Source organism: Homo sapiens, chromosome 4 (assembly GCF_000001405.40).
Source record: "Homo sapiens chromosome 4, GRCh38.p14 Primary Assembly".
NCBI classification, from domain to species: Eukaryota; Metazoa; Chordata; class Mammalia; order Primates; family Hominidae; genus Homo; species Homo sapiens.
This window is the reverse complement of record NC_000004.12, coordinates 116,079,089-116,100,079: the sequence shown is the minus strand read 5'-3', so window position 1 is coordinate 116,100,079 and position 20,991 is coordinate 116,079,089. Positions and strand designations below refer to the sequence as shown.

The window sequence follows — 20,991 nt, the reverse complement described above, 5'->3', positions numbered from 1 at the left end:
ATTCAGGAGCTGTTTGGAGACATGTATTCTGCCATGTAAGAAAAGACATTCTGCCAAATGTAAGAGTAGAGTCCATACACAATGAGAAACAGGAAAGACAGGGTCCTTACAGCTTTAGAAATACATTCTAGTTGATCTTCAAATCTGTTGGTTTCAGGGTATTCTTATAATAACCAGGATGCTTGGCAAGATCCATTTCTAAAAGAAAAACAGTGTTTAGATAATAAATTTCATAACAGTTTCCTGGTCACTAGAGAGGCACCCAGTAGACTCATCACAGTGAGTCAACTTTGCTTAATCTGATTCAGGAAGAGTTCCCATCACATTAAACCAAAGTAACATGACCACTTTGTAAGCAAAAAGGTGCCAACTATCATAGTTACTCATAGCTATGTTAATTTAACTTAAAAATTGCTAAAATACTAGTTCTAACTCATTTTGAATTTCCAAAAAATATTCTTTAATATGATTAAGAAAAATATCTACTATAAATAAAGAGAATTATTTATCATAAATAAATGATGATCATTCCACTTAATGTAATGAGGTAGCCCAAATAAAATGTAATGAACATGTTTCAGCATATATACAAAAATTACCTTAAAATATTTATTAAGTAATTGTATTAGTCTGTTTTCATGTTGCTGACAAAGACATACCCGAGACTGGGAAGAAAAAGAGGTTTAATTGGACCTACAGTTCCACATGGCTGGGGAGGTCTCAGAATCATGGCAGGAGGCAAAAGACACTCCTTAAATGGCACCAATAAGAGAAAATGAGGAAGATTCCAAGGTATAAACCCCTGATAAAACCATCAGATCTCAAGAGACTTATTCACCACCATGAGAACAATATGGGTAAAACCACCCCCATGATTCAAATTATCTCCCACTGGGTCCCTCCAACAACACGTGGGAATTATGGGAGTACAATTCAAGATGAGATTTGGAGGGGACACAGAGCCAAACCATATAATTCTAACCCTGTCCCCTCCAAGTCTCACATCCTCACATTTCAAAACAAATCATGCCTTCCCAACAGTCCCCCAAAGTCTTAACTCATTTCAGCATTAACCCAAAAGGTCATAGTTCAAAGTCTCATCTGAGATAAGGCAAGTCCCTTCCGCCTATGAGTGTGTAAAATCAAAAGCAAGCTAATTACTTCCTAGATACTATGGGGTATTGGTATTAGGTAAATGCAGCTGTTCCAAATGAGAGAAATTGGCCACAACAAAGGGATTAACAGGGCCCATGCAAGTCTAAAATCCAGTGGGGCAGTCAAATTTTAAAGCTCCAAAATGATCCCCTTGATGCCATTTCTCACATCCAGGTCACGCTAATGCAAGAGGTGGGTTCCCATGGCCTTGGGCAAATGTGCCTCTGTGGCTTTGCGGGGTACAGCCTTCCCCCTGGCTATCACGGGTTGGCATTGAGTGTCTGTGGCTTTTCCAGGTGCATGATGCAAGCTGTAGATGAATCTACCATTCTGGTGTCTGGAGGACTGTGGCCCTCTTCTCACAGGTACACTAGGCAGTGCCCCAGTAAGGATTCTTTGTGGAGACTCCAACCCCAATTTCCCTTCTGCACTTCCCTAGCAGAGGTTGTCCATGAGAGCACTGCCCCTGCAGCAAACTTCTGCCTAGGCATCCCAGTGTTTCCACACATCTTCTGAAATTTAGGTGGAAGTTCCCACACCCCAGTTCTTGACTTCTGTGCACCTGCAGGCTCAACACAATGTGGAAGCTGCCAAGGCTTGGGGCTTGCACCCTCTAAAGCCATGGCCCTAGCTCTTTGTTGTCCCCTTTCAGCCACGGCACGAGTGGCTGAGATGCAGGGCACCAAATCCGTAGACTGCACACAGCATGGGGACCCTGAGCCCTACCCACAAAATCATTTTTTCCTCCTAGACCTCTGGGTCTGTGATGGGAGGGGCTGCTGCAAAGGACTCCAACATACCTTGGAGACATTTTCCTCATTGTTTTGGGGAGTAGCATTCAGCTCCTCGTTACTTATGCAAATTTCTGCAGCTGGCTTTAATTTCTTCTCAGAAAATGAGATTTCTTTTCTGTCACATTTTTGGGCTGCAAATTTTCTGAACTTTTATTCTCAGCTCCTTTTTTAAAACTGAATATCTTTAACAGCACCCAAGTCACCTCTTGAATGCTTTGCTGCTTAGAAATTTATTCTGCCAGATACCCTAAATCATCTCTCTCAAGTTCAAAGTTTCACAAATCTCTAAGGCAGGGGCAAAATGCCACCAATCTTTTTGCTAAAATATAGCAAGAGTCACCTTTGCTCCAGTTCCCAACAAGTTTTTCATCTCCATTTGATACCACCTCAGCCTGGATTTCATTGTCCATATCATTATCAGTATTTTTGTCAAAGCCATTCAACAAGTTTCTAGGAAGTTCCAAACTTTCACACAGTTTCCTTTCTTCTTCTGAGCCCTCCAAACTGTTCCAAACTCTTCTTGCTACCCAGTTCCAAAGTCGCTTCCACATTTTCAGGTATATTTTCAGCAACACCCCACTCCTGGTACCAACATACTGTATTAGTCCATTTGCACACTGCTGATAAAGACATACCCAAGACTGGGAAGAAAAAGAGTTTTAATTGGAGTTACAGTTCCACATGGCTGTGGATTCCTGAAAATCATGGCAGGAGGTGAAAGGCACTCCTTACATGGTGGCGGCAAAAGAAAATGAGGAAGATGCAAAAGCGTAAACCCCTGATAAAACTCAGATCTCATGAAACTTATTTACTACCACAAGAACAGTATGGGGGAAACCATCCCCATGATTTAAATTGTCTCCCACCAGGTCCCTCCCACAATATGTGGGAATTATGGGAGTACCATTCAAGATAAGATTTAGTTGGGGACACAGAGCCAAATCATATCAGTAATCATGATAAAGAATATCAAAATTAGAAACCACCTAGAGAAAGCTTTTAAAATATATTCTGAAGGAAAAATACAACCTGGGCAGTGTGAAGATGGAGGGCAGGCAGATGCTGCTGCCATGGTGTGGGGGATGAGGTTGAGGTTCCTGTGGTAGTGGGAACCAAAGTGGAGCCAAGACAGAGTCCATGGCAGGCATCATCTGCCTGAATTTCAGGTGCCACGATCTCTGGGACTGCAATAATGTCTGTGGCAATTGGAGACAGAGCTGAGAGAACAAAAGGAGTCTGTGGTCTCAGCTTTAAACTACTTCCAGAGCTTCTGCCAGACCCTATTGCAATATGAAAGCAACAAAATGCATGAGAGCATATTGTATATCATCAGGAGGTATATTGTCTTGTCATCCAAAGCTTTGCCAGTGCATGTCCATATTTAACTAAGGAATGTGAAGATGTCCTCTTAGTGCTCGGCAGAATAGTACTGAGTTGTTTTTAATTATTGCTTTCAGTGTCTGAAAATTAACTGCCATGTGAAGTCTGGGTGCTGTTCGTTCAGTCTCTACAGTAGTCACATGATGAATGACTGCAATCTGAGAATAATAACCTACAAATATTGGTTCATGTTTCCAAGGAAAGGGTGTGGAAAAAAAAAGTTTTTCTTAAATTCTGTCTCAACAGTCAGTAGAAACAGAGGGAAGACTATCCTGCAGGTTTTTTGGTTGGTGAAACACACTTTGAGAAATGCCTAGTTTAGAGGAAAGAGCACTACTGTCTTTAAAATCCTTGTCAATAAATTGATTACACAGGAAAGCCCTTCCTTTCTGCAAATGCAAATAAAACATTTCTTGAAATCTAACTGTATCCCCCAGGCTACTGCTTTATTAAAACTATGTGCCAAATCTAAAAAATTTCAAATGTGTCATTTTTTCAACAACCCTTTGTAACATAATTATGTTCCATGCCTCTTAATGAATATGCTATTAAGGAGATTGCAAGGGTCAGCTGCAAGAAAGACATCATCGACGTCATATGTAACCTGGAATCTAAGGGTTGGTATTACAGAGGCTTTGTTCTTTGTGCTACTTACCTTACCCAGCAGCTCCAAACTGCAAGTGTGTATTGTTCTTAGGAACTGACTCTTTTGGAGTACTCTGCAAAGAGAATCAACCCTTCTTTAGATACTTTTTTGGACTGCTGTTGTCAGTTTGTAGCTAAAACACAGAAGCATTTATTTTGCCTCAGTAGATTTATACAAACTGAAGCACAAGATGCTGGTCTTGGGATGTCGATTTTATTGTGTCTCAGAGCTCTTCAACTCATACCAAGTAAGAATGACAAAAGGAAGGCATTAGTTAGTAAAACAATTGCCTGTTTTTTTACCAGAATATTTAGATGTTAGATGATCCTGTCAGCTTACAGAATTCTTAATTAAATCCAGTTTGGATGGATTTAATATGTTGGAAAAACTGTATTTGCAACCAGATAAAAACCTGAGGAAGAAAATAGCTAAGAAATGTCTATTAATGCCACAGATGTTTTAGAGTTACTTCTTAGTGATGATGATGAACGTAAGGAAGATAAACAATATAAAAGATATTTGACAAATCAGCATAAGAAAAGAAAAAAGAAAGAAGGAAAGAAACAAAAAACCCATTGGTTCTTCTGAAAGATATCAGAGTTGGCTTTAGTACCTTGCACAGTTGGAGGCTAACCTTTTTTTCTGTGAGCTTCAATGATGCAAATATGAATTTGTGACCAGAGAGGCTTTGTTAATGCATTATCTTTAAAAGCATAATTATTAAAAAGAAACAAATCTTCAGTTCACCATGCCAATGTCCTATTTGCCAAAGGCCCATTTATTGCAAAAGTATACCTTAGAATTTATTATAAAAATAAACATCAAAATGAAATTTTCAGAGCAACTCACAAACTATTAGATAATAAAAAATGTGATCACAACATGCTTAGTAGACAGAGTAAAAGGTAATTGTTCTGCAGAACTTGGAGGTGATTGCACCAGTAAATCTGAGAAATCACACTGCCATTCTAAAAAGGATAAATGCAATTAAGAAACAGGACAATTGCCAACATGAACAACGGCTGAAAAGCAGCCACACCGTTGTTTAGGTAGAATAGCCTGTGTATTTCTGGGAATGTACAATATCTATGTCAGCAGCATTGGCTGAGTCCGTTTGTTTTCCAGTTGTCTTACTGATTGAGTTTTTCTCTTTATTAAAAAAATGAAACTGTTCTCATTTGGTGCTAATTAATACATCAAAATATACCAGGGCTTTCTTTTTCAAATTAAGTGTGCATGATTGCACATGGAACAAATATTAAGATCTCAAGAGTGTGAGGGCTAGGGAAAGGGACATGGAGGGATTTTTTACTTGACTTGAATATGCACCTGAGGGTGCTTTGTGCAATTTATTGTACACTGAAGCATCTGATACTTTTCCAGTTGAGTTTCAATAAATTACAATTTTTTACCCTCCAACGAAAAGAAAAAGAAAATAACACATGGATGGTAGTAAAATATTCAGCTGAATATATTTTCACTACACACCGCTATTAGTATGCAAAATGCTTTGCAAAATGGTATGCAAAATATTTTACTAATGCACCAAAATGCATTTTGGTATGCATTAAAATATTTTACTAATAGAAGTGTTTATTGAAATCCTAGTAATTGTTAAACATAGTGATGTAAAAATTAACAAAAATGAAGAAATATTCTGTATAGAAGCTTATTTTTAGAACATCAAAGACAGAGAAGGAAAACTTAAGCAGTTGAATACTAAAGCAAAGCATCCCTTTGTGTCAGTCATTTAGATCTGGGGAAAGTCATTCCTTGAATTAAAGTTAGGGAAAACTGAGATCGGAAGGTTTTCAGCATTGACACCACATACGGGTTATAAAACAAATCAGAAATACTTCACTATCAGCATATTATACATGTACTTGTAATTCTTTGATTATAAATCCTGAGCAATATAAAGGTAGAAGAATAAGAATATTGATAAATTAAGTGACTGATGGTTATGTGAACACAAACACGAGCAAAACCTAGAAATCCTGGGTTTCTAGTAACATAGAGATCTAAGTGGAAATTTCATTTCTGTAAGCCTCTATTCACTCCATTTAAAAATTTATAAAACTTGCTCCTGTAAAATGCACATGCTATTTTGAAGATAAATTATAGAGTTAATAGCCTTTCATAAAATTAAATGTTCTATTGAGTGTAAGATGAAATTGTTATCAAAAAATAGGACTAAAGAAAACAGTCTTCTGTTTCAGCACTAGAATTGCTGGATCACTCAGAATACTACATATCCTATAAGAAGTGAGCTCTAGGAATGAGAATATAGCAGGCCACACTAGAGATCTTTTCTATGGACAGAAATTTTACTCTGATTTTTTTTATCAATAATAATTACTGTTGATAATTATCATGGTGATGATGATGGGATTATTATAAGCAAAATTTATTAAGCATCTATACTCTGTAATGTACAGCTTCAACCCACATTGAAAGGTACAGTAGTCCCTCCTTATCCATGGGGGAATACATTCCAAGACCCTCAGTGGATGTCTGAAACAGTGGATAATACCAACCCTGATTACATCAGTTGGGGCACATTTCTGTTCATGTCTCCCACACACAAATTTAATTCCTCCCCATCTTAACTAAGCACTTATCACACACTGTGGCCACAACTTTTGCAATTTGAAGTGCAACAGCAAAATTAGCACAAGTTTATTTTTCCTTCTTCATGACTAAGATTCATTCTTACCATAGTTTTTAGCAATCTCACCATAAGATTTTTGGTCTTTCCTTTTTAAATTGAGAACTTTTACCTTTTCACTAAAAGGAGGCACTTTACAGCGTTTCTTTGGCATATCAAAGTTGCCAGCATCACCACTCTGGCACTTTGAAAATTTTATTAAGTAAAGTAAAGGTGACTTGAACACAAGCTCTGTAATACTGAGACAGTTGATTTGATTGATCACCCAGCCAGATGCTAAGTGACTAACAGGTAGCATAGACAGCACAGGTATGCTTGACAAACGGATGATTCATGTCCTGGGCAGGAAAGGGATAGTGTGATTTTATCGTTATACTTGGAACAACATATTTTAAACTCATGAATTGTTTATTTCTGGAATTTTCTATTTATTACTTTTAAACTGTGGCCAACCAGAGGTCACTGAATCTCCAAAAAGCAAAACAATGGATAAAAGGGGACTACTGTATGCATTAGTATCTTGATTTTATAAGTGATGACCATTCGTATGAGGAAGACTATGTGAATTACTGATTATCACTCAACTGGGAAAAGGCAGGTCCACTTCGTTCTCTCTACCACCTATGCTTGTTATATTACATCATGTTGTCTCTTTATATATTGGTGAGTATGTATTAGATTTACAAACACCAGTCAAAGAATAAGCATTACTGACTATAAATAACATGATATACATTAGTAGATAGCTTTGAAGTATATGAAGCATTTTCCTTTCTGTAATTGAAAAGCCATTTTTGAAAAATTTGAAACTAAAATTAGGTTAAAATGTAAATGAAAGTGTGTGTCTCTATAGAGGTGTGCACAAATTTATATGTGCATATTTACTTGTAACATACTGCCTGTGGGATTACGTACTTATAGGCAGTATGATACAAGAAAATATACACATACACATATGTGTATACAAATGTGCATTGTATACACATTTGACATGTGTTTTCTTGAGTACCATACTGTTGTGAAAAGCCAAATACACTCAGTCAGACCAATTTATTAGTTGCATAACCTTGAGAAAGTTACTTAGATGCTCTGAGCCATAATTTATTTATAAATTTTTAAAAATCACCTACATAACAGAATTTAATTAGTTGTCCTATGTGCATAAGAGAATCTAGAACAATGCCAAATACACATGTACTACATATTTACCTATCTTTATTTGCTTTACAGTATATTAACTCAAACGTTGTACACATATCAGAAATAAAGTGCTATGCTACATTTTCTATAAAAGTAACATTTATCTTTTAATCACTGCTATTCTACAATTTCTAAAGGTAATAAAGCTGGATCAAAAACTTTTAAAATGATTACACGTTTAAAAATAAGTTAATAAATACAATCTGTAGTTTTCTTGACTAGGGTCATCACTGACAATATTAGTTTTAGATCACACTGCAGATCTGGCACACTATACAATTCAACAATGACGATGATACTTGTTTTACCTTGGACAAGATAAGTAAAAATGAAGCTAAACATTTGTAACCTCTGCAGCAGGGTATGCAAGAACAATAATTTAGACTATGTTCATTTTGGAGGGCCTCTAATAGGAGTATATGAGAATTTGCCTATTACAGCTTCTGTGAAAAAATGCAAAATACTTTTGAGCAGATTTATATGAGTAAAATCAGTTCATTTTAAAAAGTAGATTTTGATGTATGATAGTGAGACACAATGATAAATGGCTAGATTTGCATGATAGAAGGTTGCTAGTTAATGAGGAAGATACAGAAATGTATTCTGTCTATATCAGAGGGAAAATTGTTAGCAAGGGGTGTGTATGTGTGTATGTGTTAATGTAGCTAAATATTTACTTTATGTGAAATCTGAAGGTTTTAAAAAATGTTTCTTAAACTAAATTTTCTAAGGTGATTCCATTATTGTTATGATTTACTGATCACAAGATCATATTATATGGATGAAGATACATTTTTACATTCTTAATATTATGTTAATACTAAAACTACTGTCATGTCCAGGGTAATAGAACTTTTCAAAGACAGTCACAAGACAAATATAAGAAAGTTATGTTTGTGCATCCGTGTCATAAATATTATGAATATTTATATAATTTATTGCCTCTTTTTAAGTGATTACATCTATAAATATAAAAATATTGTTCAAATTATGAAAATGATTTTAACAGAATATTACTAGAAAAACTGAACTATTATTCAGGCATTATTCTTAATATTGTGTGGAATTGCAGTTTATTAATTGATATACCTAAAATTTTATTGAATGTCAAACTTGTTTTTTGTATCTGCAAATGTTTCAATCTTTTGTCAATCAGTCATTTGCATACATACCTTGGAAATTAGTTCAGCAATGATGTTTAGACATTAGTGTTGACTGTGAGATATTCTGGCTCAGTGAAGAGTTTTATTAGCAGACACATATCAAACACTAAGGTGTGGTAACAGCTTCTGGTTTACTGAAGAAATGATCTCATTTTTAAAGTAATATGTGTCCCTTTTATTCTATTTCCTTAAATATATGGATAAGTACCCCCTTTTAACGTTGTTTTATATTAAAATAAATTTTATAATTTGCATGAATTCCGCTTTCAATTCAAACTGGCTATATGGAGGTCAATTCAAGAAGTAACTAATTTTGTAGCAAATTTAGCCTAAAATATTTTTCTATGGAATTGTCAATTATAATTTTTTAAAATGTACTTATAGTAATATATAGCAGTATCTGTGTATATATCTATGTACAAATGGCCACTGAGTTTATTACAGTTAGGGCATGACTGATAAAACAATTACAGAAATAGGTAAGATCTAAACATTGTTAAGGAAATTGGCTTTGATGGTTTTCACTGTTTATTATTCTAATTCATAGACCTGATGTTATATGTGAGTAGTCACGATCTACATTTTCTTTATATAGGTGGAACTTAAGGAATGCACAAATAAAAGACACAGATAAATTTATATTCATATAGATTTATTAATATATATCTTTTTCTATAGTGAATTTCCCTTGCATTAACTCTTATTTATTTATTTATTTATTTATTTAGAGATAGGGTTGTCACTCTGTTGTCCAGTCTAGACTCAAACTCCTGAACTCAAGTGATTCTCCTGCCTCAGCCTCCCAAGTAGCTGAGACTACACCCTATGACATTGTGTCCCCAGCTTGCATTAATTCTTTTGTAATAGATGAAAAAATTATTTGAAGGAAACATAAGGTTACTTGAAAGTTAAGTCCCATAGCTGGAACTAGCACAGGCCCCCAGTTCCCTCTGAAGCAGAAACACTGAGAATGAAATTTGCTTAAGGTTCAGATGGATACTTTGTGATTAGAAAAATGTAGATAGTTCTACTTTACACCACAGGAAGTTACATATTGAAAATAAAATTATTGAGGAAATAGATCCAATTTTGCATCTTAAATGCCCAGCAAACATATATCCTAACATGTACTAAGTGCTCCATTTGATGATTTAATGAACAAATATATAATAAATAAGTGGGTACATATAAATGGACCCATGGATTTAAATATTCTGTTATCCAAAACATAAATAAAATGTATTCATCTAATCATTCTGACCATCATTTTTTTTCACTTCCCAAGCTCTTGCCTTCAAGTTAAAGTGCATATATAAGTAAATTGACATTTTTTGTTAATGCTATTCCTGTTATTTCCACAACTGTTGGCAGTTGTACTGTTCATTAGTACAACATGTCACGATATTGTACTAGAATGATCACAGTGACTTACTTGGCTTTGTTACAATACAGACATTTGTTCTTTTGGGATAGAGCTGTATGCTAATATTATTTCATGAATCAGCTTGACAGCATTTTCTATCACCCTAAATGGAAATGACTTTCCTTTGCTTATTTAATTATGCTTCCTTTCAGATCCCGTGCTAAGGGCTCATTCATTCTAAATGCCATTAGAAAAGAACTACCTGAATTAACAACAACAAATACTATAGACAAATGATAATGTGTTGTTAAATTTCGTTATACTAAAGAGCACTGTATTTTCTTAAATTACTTGCAGTATTATTTTTTGTAATTTTGAAATTGAGCTTTGAAGTGTACTATGTTTCTTTTTAAATGATATAAATATACTTAAGCTATAATTCTGATATTAAAGTAAAATAATTGCTTAAGAAAATGGCTTAACCTAATACATATGGTCATATTTTATTGATTTTATTATTTTAAATTTCCCTCTTTTGCAAATTTACTAATACTCATTTCTATTATAAACTATAAAGCTATTATATTTTATTCTTTGTAGGTAGGTCAGGGACTGCTGTCAATCAGCACATTTATTTAGATTGTACAGTGGGAAGAGCATTCTGCAAATGTTGGCTGGCTTATAGTGAAATAAAAGACAGAAAAACTATAACCAGGAAGTGTGGCATGTTGTACTGGATGAGCCCCAACAAATGCATTCTTCACAGTTGACATAAGACATAGTTTGACTGCAGCCCTGCTAGTAATTAGAGATAATTTAGTTTGGCAATCCATATTGTAAATGAATAATTACATATGTTTTACTTACAATTTTTTTAGTAATATAAAGTATATTACTTATTATTTCATCAACATATTGATTACATGTTAATGACTTTCAACACTTAGGCCTTTAATATGTCATTAACAAATTGAATCTTTGAAAACATTTCCTCCCTATTATTAATATAATTTCTGATAATTATAATACAAGGAATGGCTAAAGCCCTTCTATTTTATTGCTGAGAAGAAACCAGTGATTAAGATATTAATACTGTTTGGACCATTAGAGAAAAGATAATAGCTCAGAAAATGAATAGTCTAACGGGCAAAATGTACATTTTGTGAAGAGGATAGTTTGTGATAGTTCATTCACTTTAGTAAATTTAATTCATATTAAGAATGATAGAATTTAGAGAGAAAATAGGAAAATGATGCCAATATAAACAAAATTTCTTGATAATATTCATATCTAATTGTGTAATAAGATAAGCACTTTTCAAATTACACTGGAATTGCATGAACACATTTAAAAATAGCAGTTTATTATGCTGATCCATTTTCAAAACCTTAATTTTAAAAGACAATGGTTGGCTAATATATGAAAATAAATCACAAGAATATATTAAGGATGAAAAAAGCAAGTGTAGATACAGGCATTCTCATTACTAAGAAATAGTGTGCTATACTGAAAGAGCATAAGAGAATTACAGGAGATAGTCCAGAGGTTTAATAAGAAAAAAATTAAACCGTTTAAAGTTATATAGAAAACTATGAATTTTATCTTTTCAGCTTCCCAGGCTGCTACCAGTCTAACACCCTGGATATGTTTATTTTTTCTAAATACAGATCTTAATAAAATCCTAGTTATGGATAAATACAGAAACATAGGTAATCCTACCATACCTATTGACATATATTGTGATGTACTTGTTCACACATATGTATGTAAATTCTATGTTAATCAAACAAGCATGACTCATAGACCATCATTATGAAGAAATATTATTTTTATTCTCATGATCACTTAAAATGTATAATCTGTGGACAAATATTTTGTGTTTTTCCCCCTCATCCCCTGGATGAAATTGTGATCATATTTTCAGTCACACTTAGTGGTTAAAAACTACTATGTCAATTTAAATGACAAAACATAATGATGATCACAATATCCAAATTGAGGTATGATCAAAGTTGAATTTGAAATACATGAATTATCTTTCTTCCCTTAGCTTATAATTGTTATTTAAAGGAAGACCATTGTTGAAATCACTGGTGAATTTTGAGCTTCCTTTGTCTTCTGTGACACCTAAACTTTTCTACTTTTATGTTCTGACTCTGGAAGATGAAAGCAAGATATGAAATATTTTGCCCATTAGAAACCACTATTCCCTGGACTTGACCTGTGTTTGATATTCTCTTTTTCCTCTACCAGCTGTCTTACCTTTGGGTTCTTGAAATGAGCTAATGTATCTCAACTATAACTTGAAATGATTTCTGTACTCCTAAGCATTACCTTGCCCACCACTAGCTGCTTTGGGTGGAAGTCTGATTGCCTCTCAGGACAGGACCAAGAGTAATCTGCTACAATCTCTTCCTTTCCATGTGGCAGACAGAAAAAACATACCCTTTGCCTAATGAACTTGGAGTGGTCAGAACTGTCGCAATAAAGTCTCCTTTCCTTAGACCATTTCGTCTCGACCATTTTTCACACAAATGTATGTAAATTTACCTGTTTGACTTTAGCAGCAGCACATCATATGACTCTGGAATGCAATATGTTTACGCAATTTTTGCCATTGATGGATATTAGTTGTTTCCAGTTGTTTGACATTGCAATTACAAACAATGATAGGCTGAAATTTCTTAACCATTTTGAATATTACTTCTGCTGCAAAAATATTTAGGAGTTGAACTTATGAAATTTATGGTTTCAAAATTTTGAATAAGTCAAATTTAGACATTGTTCTTTCAAAAACATGTATAACACTTCCACTTTCTAGCAACAGTATAATAGAATCACTGCTGTTTTGCATAGATATTTATAATGACCATTAGCTCACAGTTTTTTTCTTTTTGTGCATTCTTCCTTTGAACTTTTATTGTTTTCCATGTTTGCTTCATAAAAATAATTTTCTATTTACTTTCTTCAGTAATATGTAGTATTTTAAACAGCACCAGAAATGGATATTTCTTAATAGTTAAAATAAGTTATTTATGAAGTGAGAAGGTAGAAAACAAATTATTATTGTTTTATAGGACCCACTTAAACAGTTATTAGCTCTTTTTTATTTGATAGGATTATAGGCAATTAATATACAGAAAAAAAGTAATTTTCTTCTTTTGATTATTATTCTTTATGACTTAACTTGTGATGGTTAATGTTATTTGAATTTTGAGCTTTTAGTCTTATTTAGCCCAGATATTAGCAGAAAAATATGTATGAGTAAAATTTGAAGCTATCACTTTGCTTACAAGTGCAATACCCTCTACCTACTTTATTTCTTGAATTAAGTTTGACCCTAGAAAACATAAAGCATAGAGAGAAGAAACACAAATTAAAGTAAATATGTATATAACTGTGCCAGAAGTGATGAAAATTTATGAAGCATACTAGAATTACATTTTAATTTACAAGTTGTACGAATATCTTTATTTGTTCTTTTCATATGCTATAGATACATATTGTACACCCTGAATGTCAGAGAATATCAGAGAGAAGAATTCTCTTTGTAATTTTGTTTTAAGCCTAAATAATTATACAAAAAAATTATGATTTAGAATTATCGGCACACTTCTTCCTTATTATTGTCCTAGTAAAATGTGTGAGTAGAAAGACATTTCCGTGTATCTATAACAATTATATGATCTTTTGAATGCTATATATCTTTCAATTTCTATACATGATAAGATTCTAGAGCTCCTTGTTATCGTTATTCATTCAATGCAACTTATTAAAATAATTATCATATGTGAAACATTTACAATATTCCCTTATATATTATGGTTATATATGTTTATCTTCTCTTAAATAACCTGCACTATTAGAGTAAAAATATCACATTTTGTTAATTTTGTATTTACTGTTTGATAAATACAATTCATAATATATGCCCAAAGAATGTCCAATAACTCATTTAAACTTGAAGTACTTTACAATAATAAGACAGTTTTACATACAGTATTGCATTAGATACACAATTCTTTGAAGGAAGTAGAATGGGTTAAATAAAATAATAATTTTAGATGTAAAGAAATACTCCATCATGTTTTATTATTAATCTCCATGGCCTGAATATATGTTACTGGATATGAAAGCAAAAAAGGAGTTTACTTTAGCAAATTTTTAAATATTATTCTAGTTCATGACTCTTTTGTGAAAGACGAGCATTTATATTATACTAACTCTCTTTGAACTGACATTCTGTAAATATATTCAGTGAGGATAGAGTCATTAGGAAATGCAAACTGTGTTAATTTACACATACTCGATACATTTTAAGCACTATTTATTATTATATATCACTAAAAAAATCCCATGGCAGACAGTAATGCCTTTAATAAATTGAGAAAATCATAACAAAATAACATGGTAAGTTAGTTATTAAAGGAAATATGATCAACACTTGTTGACTTTTAAATATCCTAATTAAGTATAGCCTATTTGTTTTTCTGAGTGACCTAATTTTGATGTTTATTTTAAAAGCAGAAATACAGTTTTTTAAAATCAATTTAAGCATAAACTTTCCCAGAACAAGCTATGAATCTAAACCATGGCTGGCTAATAATTGCATCAAAGTGTTAATGTACAGAAGAAACAATAATTTTAAAAGACAGTTCTCACAAAATTTAAAAAGAACCAGGAACCCACACTATATGGCTGTAATATTATGTATTTCTGTTTCTATCCAGGGTGAAAAAGATATATATACAGAGGATCTAGAAATATCTTAATCAAAGTTAATTCATTTTTTAATATCTCTAAAGTTTATTTACAAAATAAAAACACATACATTTAAAATTTGGGGTTTGGTAGTAATAATCGCTTTTTGATTAAGGCATTATATAGATTTCATAATTTCTTGATATTAAAATGTATTATTTTTAAATGTGATGCTATAGACAACTGATCATTTATACCATTTTAAAGATTTCATTTTGGTAAAAAAGAATAAAAAGAAAAGTTTATCAGTTATCACTTTATGTACATATATATTTGAAACATAGTTATTTGGTATTTATTCCCATAGTCGGGGGGCATAAATTCCCATATGCCCATAGAATGTGCTCAGTTGACTGTTCCTTTTTTTATATATTTTTGACGGATTCTTCGCCTGGTAGCAATGTATTGCATACTATACATTTAATATGAAATATCTTACTTCACTAATTCAATTTTAGTATGTTTGAAATGAAATAATGACATCAATTGTTTATGTGCATTACTTCATTTTTAATATAAATATTTCAATATGTTAATAATTATTTTTATATACTTATTTTAATTTGCCAAATTTTGAGATATTTTGGGTTGTAGGGATTATTCATTTAATCTTCTCTTAAATAGATTAAGATATTTTGTTACAGAATTGAGATATAAAATAAGCTGAAAATATGAAAAGCAAATCTGCTCCTATGTTTCATTAAACATTTCTTTTCCCTTTCAATCATTATCTTTATTTAGAAGACTGTATAAAGTTTAGAGAATGTTAAAAACAAAAAATAATTGAATTATATTAAAATATTATAAATAATTCTTCATGTATTTATTTCTGTATCTAGGCACCATAGTACTTACAGCCACAGGGAAGATTGAATTGTTACTTATGTCAACCTAATTGACTTCTATATTACAAATTATCAAGCACCTAGTTAGTCTTCAAATAAAATATTTTATTAACATCATAGAATTTAGAGCATGTAGAAAACGTATATGTTAAATAATCTATTATTTTCAAAGATAAAAGGGAAAGAAATTAACGAGTTTTTCTAAAGTTAGATATCAATGATCTAACAGAACCAAGAGTCCATTGTCTTTGTTTGGGGTCTGATGCTTTCTGCCAATAAGTCACTGATACTCTATTTCAACTTACCTCATTCTATATTATATTGGACACATATAGTACTTTAATTTTTTAATCGATAATGAATATCATAATTCTACATTATGTTCCAAGAACTAAATAGCTATATAATAGTTAGGAACAATGAGAAAAAATAGTATTTACTAAAAATCTATGGGGAAATACATAGAAAATACCTTTGAATGGACAAAAATGTGGATTTTCCCCTCTCCACGTGGCTATTCTTTGCTTTTTTGCCTCTGAGTGTAGTTTCTTTTCTCTGTTCTCCATTTTCTGTTTTTCCCTGTATTAGAGATTTGTTCCTGGTCTCACTTGAGTTGTCAGAAAAAGGTTACTACACCCTTGAGTTTCAACAGAAAAATGAAAAACTAAAATAACCAATAAATCTCTTTCATTTCTCTCTTCAGTCAGTCCTTCACACAGGCTTCCCATATACAGTGTGAGGTTAATATTCCATCACATTTTTATCTCTTCACCACTAAATAGGAAACAGCTTTAAGAAAAAGAAAAGTGGGCAAAGGACATGAACAGACACTTTTCAAAAGTAGACACAAAAGTGGCCAGTAAGCATATAAAAAAAAGTTCAACATCTGTAATCATTAGAGAAATGCAAATCAAAACCACAATACGTCATCTCATCCTAGTCATAATGGCTATTATTTAAAAGTAAAAAAAAAAAATACATATTGTCAAGTTTGTGGAGAAAAGGAAACATTTATACATTGCTAGCAGGAATGCAAATTAGCTGTTCAGTCATTTTGGAAAGCAGTGTTTTCTCAAAGAACATAAAACAGAAGTATCATTTGACCCAGCAACCTCATTACTGAGTATGCACCCAAGGGAACATAAATCGTCCTACCATAAAAATACATGCACACGTATGGTCATCACAGTCGTATTCAAAAAAGCAAAGACATGGAATCTACCTAAATGTGTATCAATGGTAGATTGGAAAAAGAAAACGTGGCACACATACACTATGAAATACTATGCAACTATAAAAAAAGAATGAGATCATATCATTTGCAGCAATATGGATGGAGCTGGATGCCATCATCCTAAGTGAATTCATAAAAGAACGGAAAGCCAAATGCCACATGTTCTCACTTATAAGAGGGAACGAAGCATTGGCTACACATGGACACAAAGAAAGGAACAATAGACACTGGGGCCTATTTGAAAGTCGAGGGTGGGAAGAGGGGGAAAATCAAAACACAGCCTTCAAGTAGTATGCTTATTACTTGGGTGATTAAATATGTACAGCAAACCCTCGTGCCATGCAATTTAACTATATAACAAACCTGCACATGTACCCCCGAATTTAAAATAAAAGTTAAGAACGCCTGTAATCCCAGCACTTTGGGAGGCCGAGGCGGGCGGATCACGAGGTCAGGAGATTGAAATCATCCTGGCTAACACAGTGAAACCCCAGGAGGCAGAGCTTGCAGTGAGCCGAGATCGCGCCACTGCACTCCAGCCTGGGTGACAAAGCGAGACTCCGTCTCAAAAAAAAAAACCACTAGATTATCAAATTTTATGCCAGAGTCATTTCAAATATAAACAAGAATCAATACACAATGTGAAAACTATTAATGAAGTAAATTACATTTTAAATTAAAAAAACACTGAAGTTTATTTTTATCACAAAATGTGGAATATGTTTTTAATGGAAAAGGCATGGGTATATGTCACCTAAAAAAAAAGTGCACAATATTTTGAGATTATTTTTTAACACGAGAGTTATGAAAGTCTCCAGCATATAGAATATTTTGATTTCTAAATCGGTAGCAATAGTAATAAAAAATTTCAATGTTGTATTTATATGAAAAAATGTTTTTCTTATATGTAACTTTGCTTTTTACGATTCTTAATAAATTCACAGTTTGTCCTTTAAAAAAAATAAGCCAAATTACTTACTAGCAGAATAGTTAAAATTAGTTGAAAATTAGTGGATTAGATAAAATTAGTTGAAAATTAGTAAAACATCTACTTTTACCATAACAAAAACAATGCAGAAGAGAAGATGGTAGCTCCAGAAACCATACCAAATATTCCCATCAGAATTTTGTGTAAAATTAATATTAGATAAGTGTGTGGAAAAAGTACATTAATTCTGAAAAGTATTGTTTAAAAATAATTTTTAATGGGATTATGCTTGATTTAAAAATCAAAGAAGTTTATTAACTGATGGAATCATTGTAAAAAAATTATAAATTTGCAATTACTCCAAATTTCTAAGCATCACATTTGCAATCTACTGATTTACTTGCCACCAAGGTTACTCAAACTTACTTGTAAGTTCGTGTTGACTTTTGATGCCATCAAGTTGGAGTACCCCCTTTCCTCTCCGGTACTTACGTATACAAAGATATTCCATGAAAATTGAAGTGAAAAAAGAGCAGAAACAACTATACTTATAACTGATAAAGTAGATTTCAAGATAAAAACTATAAAAAGACACATAGAAGATCATTATATAATCATAAAGGAGTCAATTTAGGAAGAGTATGTAATAGTTGTAAAGATATACGCACCCAACACTGGAGCACCCATATATAATAAGTAAATGTTATTTAGATGAAGAACTTGAATCCCTGAATACACCAATAACAGGCTCTGAAATTGAGGCAATAATTAATAGCCTACCAACCAAAAAGAGTCCAGGACCAGACGGATTCACAGCTGAATTCTACCAGAGGTAAAGGAGGACCTGGTACCATTCCTCCTGAAACTATTCCAATCAATAGAAAAAGAGGGAATCCTCCCTAACTCATTTTATGAGACCAGCATCATCCTGATACAAAACCCTGGCAGAGACACAACAACAAAGGAGAATTTTAGACCAATATCCCTGATGAACATCAATGCAAATATCTTCAATAAAATACTGGCAAACCGAATCCAGCAGCACATCAAAAAGCTTATCCACCACAGTCAAGTCAGCTTCATCCCTATGATGCAAGGCTGGTTCAACATACACAAATCAAAAAGCATAATCCATCACATAAACAGAACCAACAACCAAAACCACATGATTATCTCAATAGATGCAGAAAAGGCCTTCGACAAAATAAAACAGCCCTTCATGCTAAAAACTCTCAATAAACTAGGTATTGATGGAACGTATGTCAAAATAATAAGACTAGTTTTGACAAACCCACAGCCAATATCATACTGAATGGGCAAAAACTGGAAGCATTCCCTTTCAAAACCGGCACAAGACAAGGATGCCCTCTCTCACCACTCCTATTCAACATAGTGTTGGAAGTTCTGGCCAGGGCAGTCAGGCAAAAGAAAGAAATAAAGGTATTCGATTAGGAAAAGAGGAAGTCAAATTGTCCCTGTTTGCAGATGACATGACTGTATATTTAGAAAACCCCATTGCCTCAGCCCAATATTTCCTTAAGCTGATAAGCAACTTCAGCAAAGTCTTGGGAAACAAAATCAATGTGCAAAAATCATAAGCATTCCTATACACCAATAACAGACAAACAGAGAGCCAAATCATGAGTGAACCCTCATTCACAATTGCTATGAAGAGAATAAAATACCTAGGAATCCAACTTACAAGGGACGTGAAGGACCTCTTCAAGGAGAACTGCAAACCACTGCTCAACGAAATAAAAGAGGACACAAACAAATGGAAGAACATTCCATGCTCATGGGTAGGAAGAATCAGTATCTTGAAAATGGCAATATTGCCCAAGGTAATTTATAGATTCAATGCCATCCCCATCAAGCTACCAATGACTTTCTTCACAGAATTGGAAAAAACTACTTTAAAGTTCATATGGAACCAAAGAAGAACCCACATAGCCAAGACAATCCCAAGCAAAAAGAACAAAGCTGGAAGCATCACACTACCTGACTTCAAACCATACTACAAGGCTGCAGTAATCAAAACAGCATGGTACTGGTACCAAAACAGATATAGACCAATGGAACAGAACAGAGCCCTCAGAAATACTAACACACATCTACAGCCATCTGATCTTTGACAAACCTGACAAAAACAAGAAATGGGGAAAGGATTCCATATTTAATAAATGGTGCTGGGAAAACTGGCTAGCCATATGGAGAAAGCTGAAACTGGATCCCTTCCTTACACCTTATACAAAAATTAATTCAAGATGGATTAAAGACTTAAATGTATGACATAATACCATAAAAACCCTAGAGGAAAACCTAGGCAATACTATTCAGGTATTGGTGTTGGTGAGAGTGTAAATTAGCTCAACTATTGCAGAAGACAGTGTGGTGATTCCTCAAGGATCTAGAACTAGAAATATCCTTTGACCCAGCAATCCCATTACTGGGTATATACCCAAAGGATTATAAATCATGCTACTATAAAGACACATGCACACGTATGTTTATTGTGGCACTATTCACAATAGCAAAGACTTGGAACCAACCCAAATGTCCATAAGTGATAGACTGGATTAAGAAAATGTGGCACATATATACCATGGAATACTATGCAGCCATAAAAAAGGATGAGTTCATGTCCTTTGTAGAGACATGGATGAAGCTAGAAACCATCATTCTCAGCAAACTATCACAAGGACAGAAAACCAAACACTGCATGTTCTAACTCATAGGTGGGAATTGAATAATGAGAACACATGGACAGAGGGTGGGGAACATCACACACCAGGGCCTGTCAGGAGGTGGAGGCCTGGGGGAAGGGGAGCATTAGGAGAAATACCTAATGTAAATG

At 33.4% G+C, this 20,991-nt stretch overlaps 1 pseudogene; it reads left to right on the top strand.

Moving 5' to 3' along the window:
• On the top strand, positions 2,981-4,788 carry RLFP1 (RLF pseudogene 1; annotated as a pseudogene).
• Positions 4,789-20,991: the final 16,203 nt, after the last annotated feature.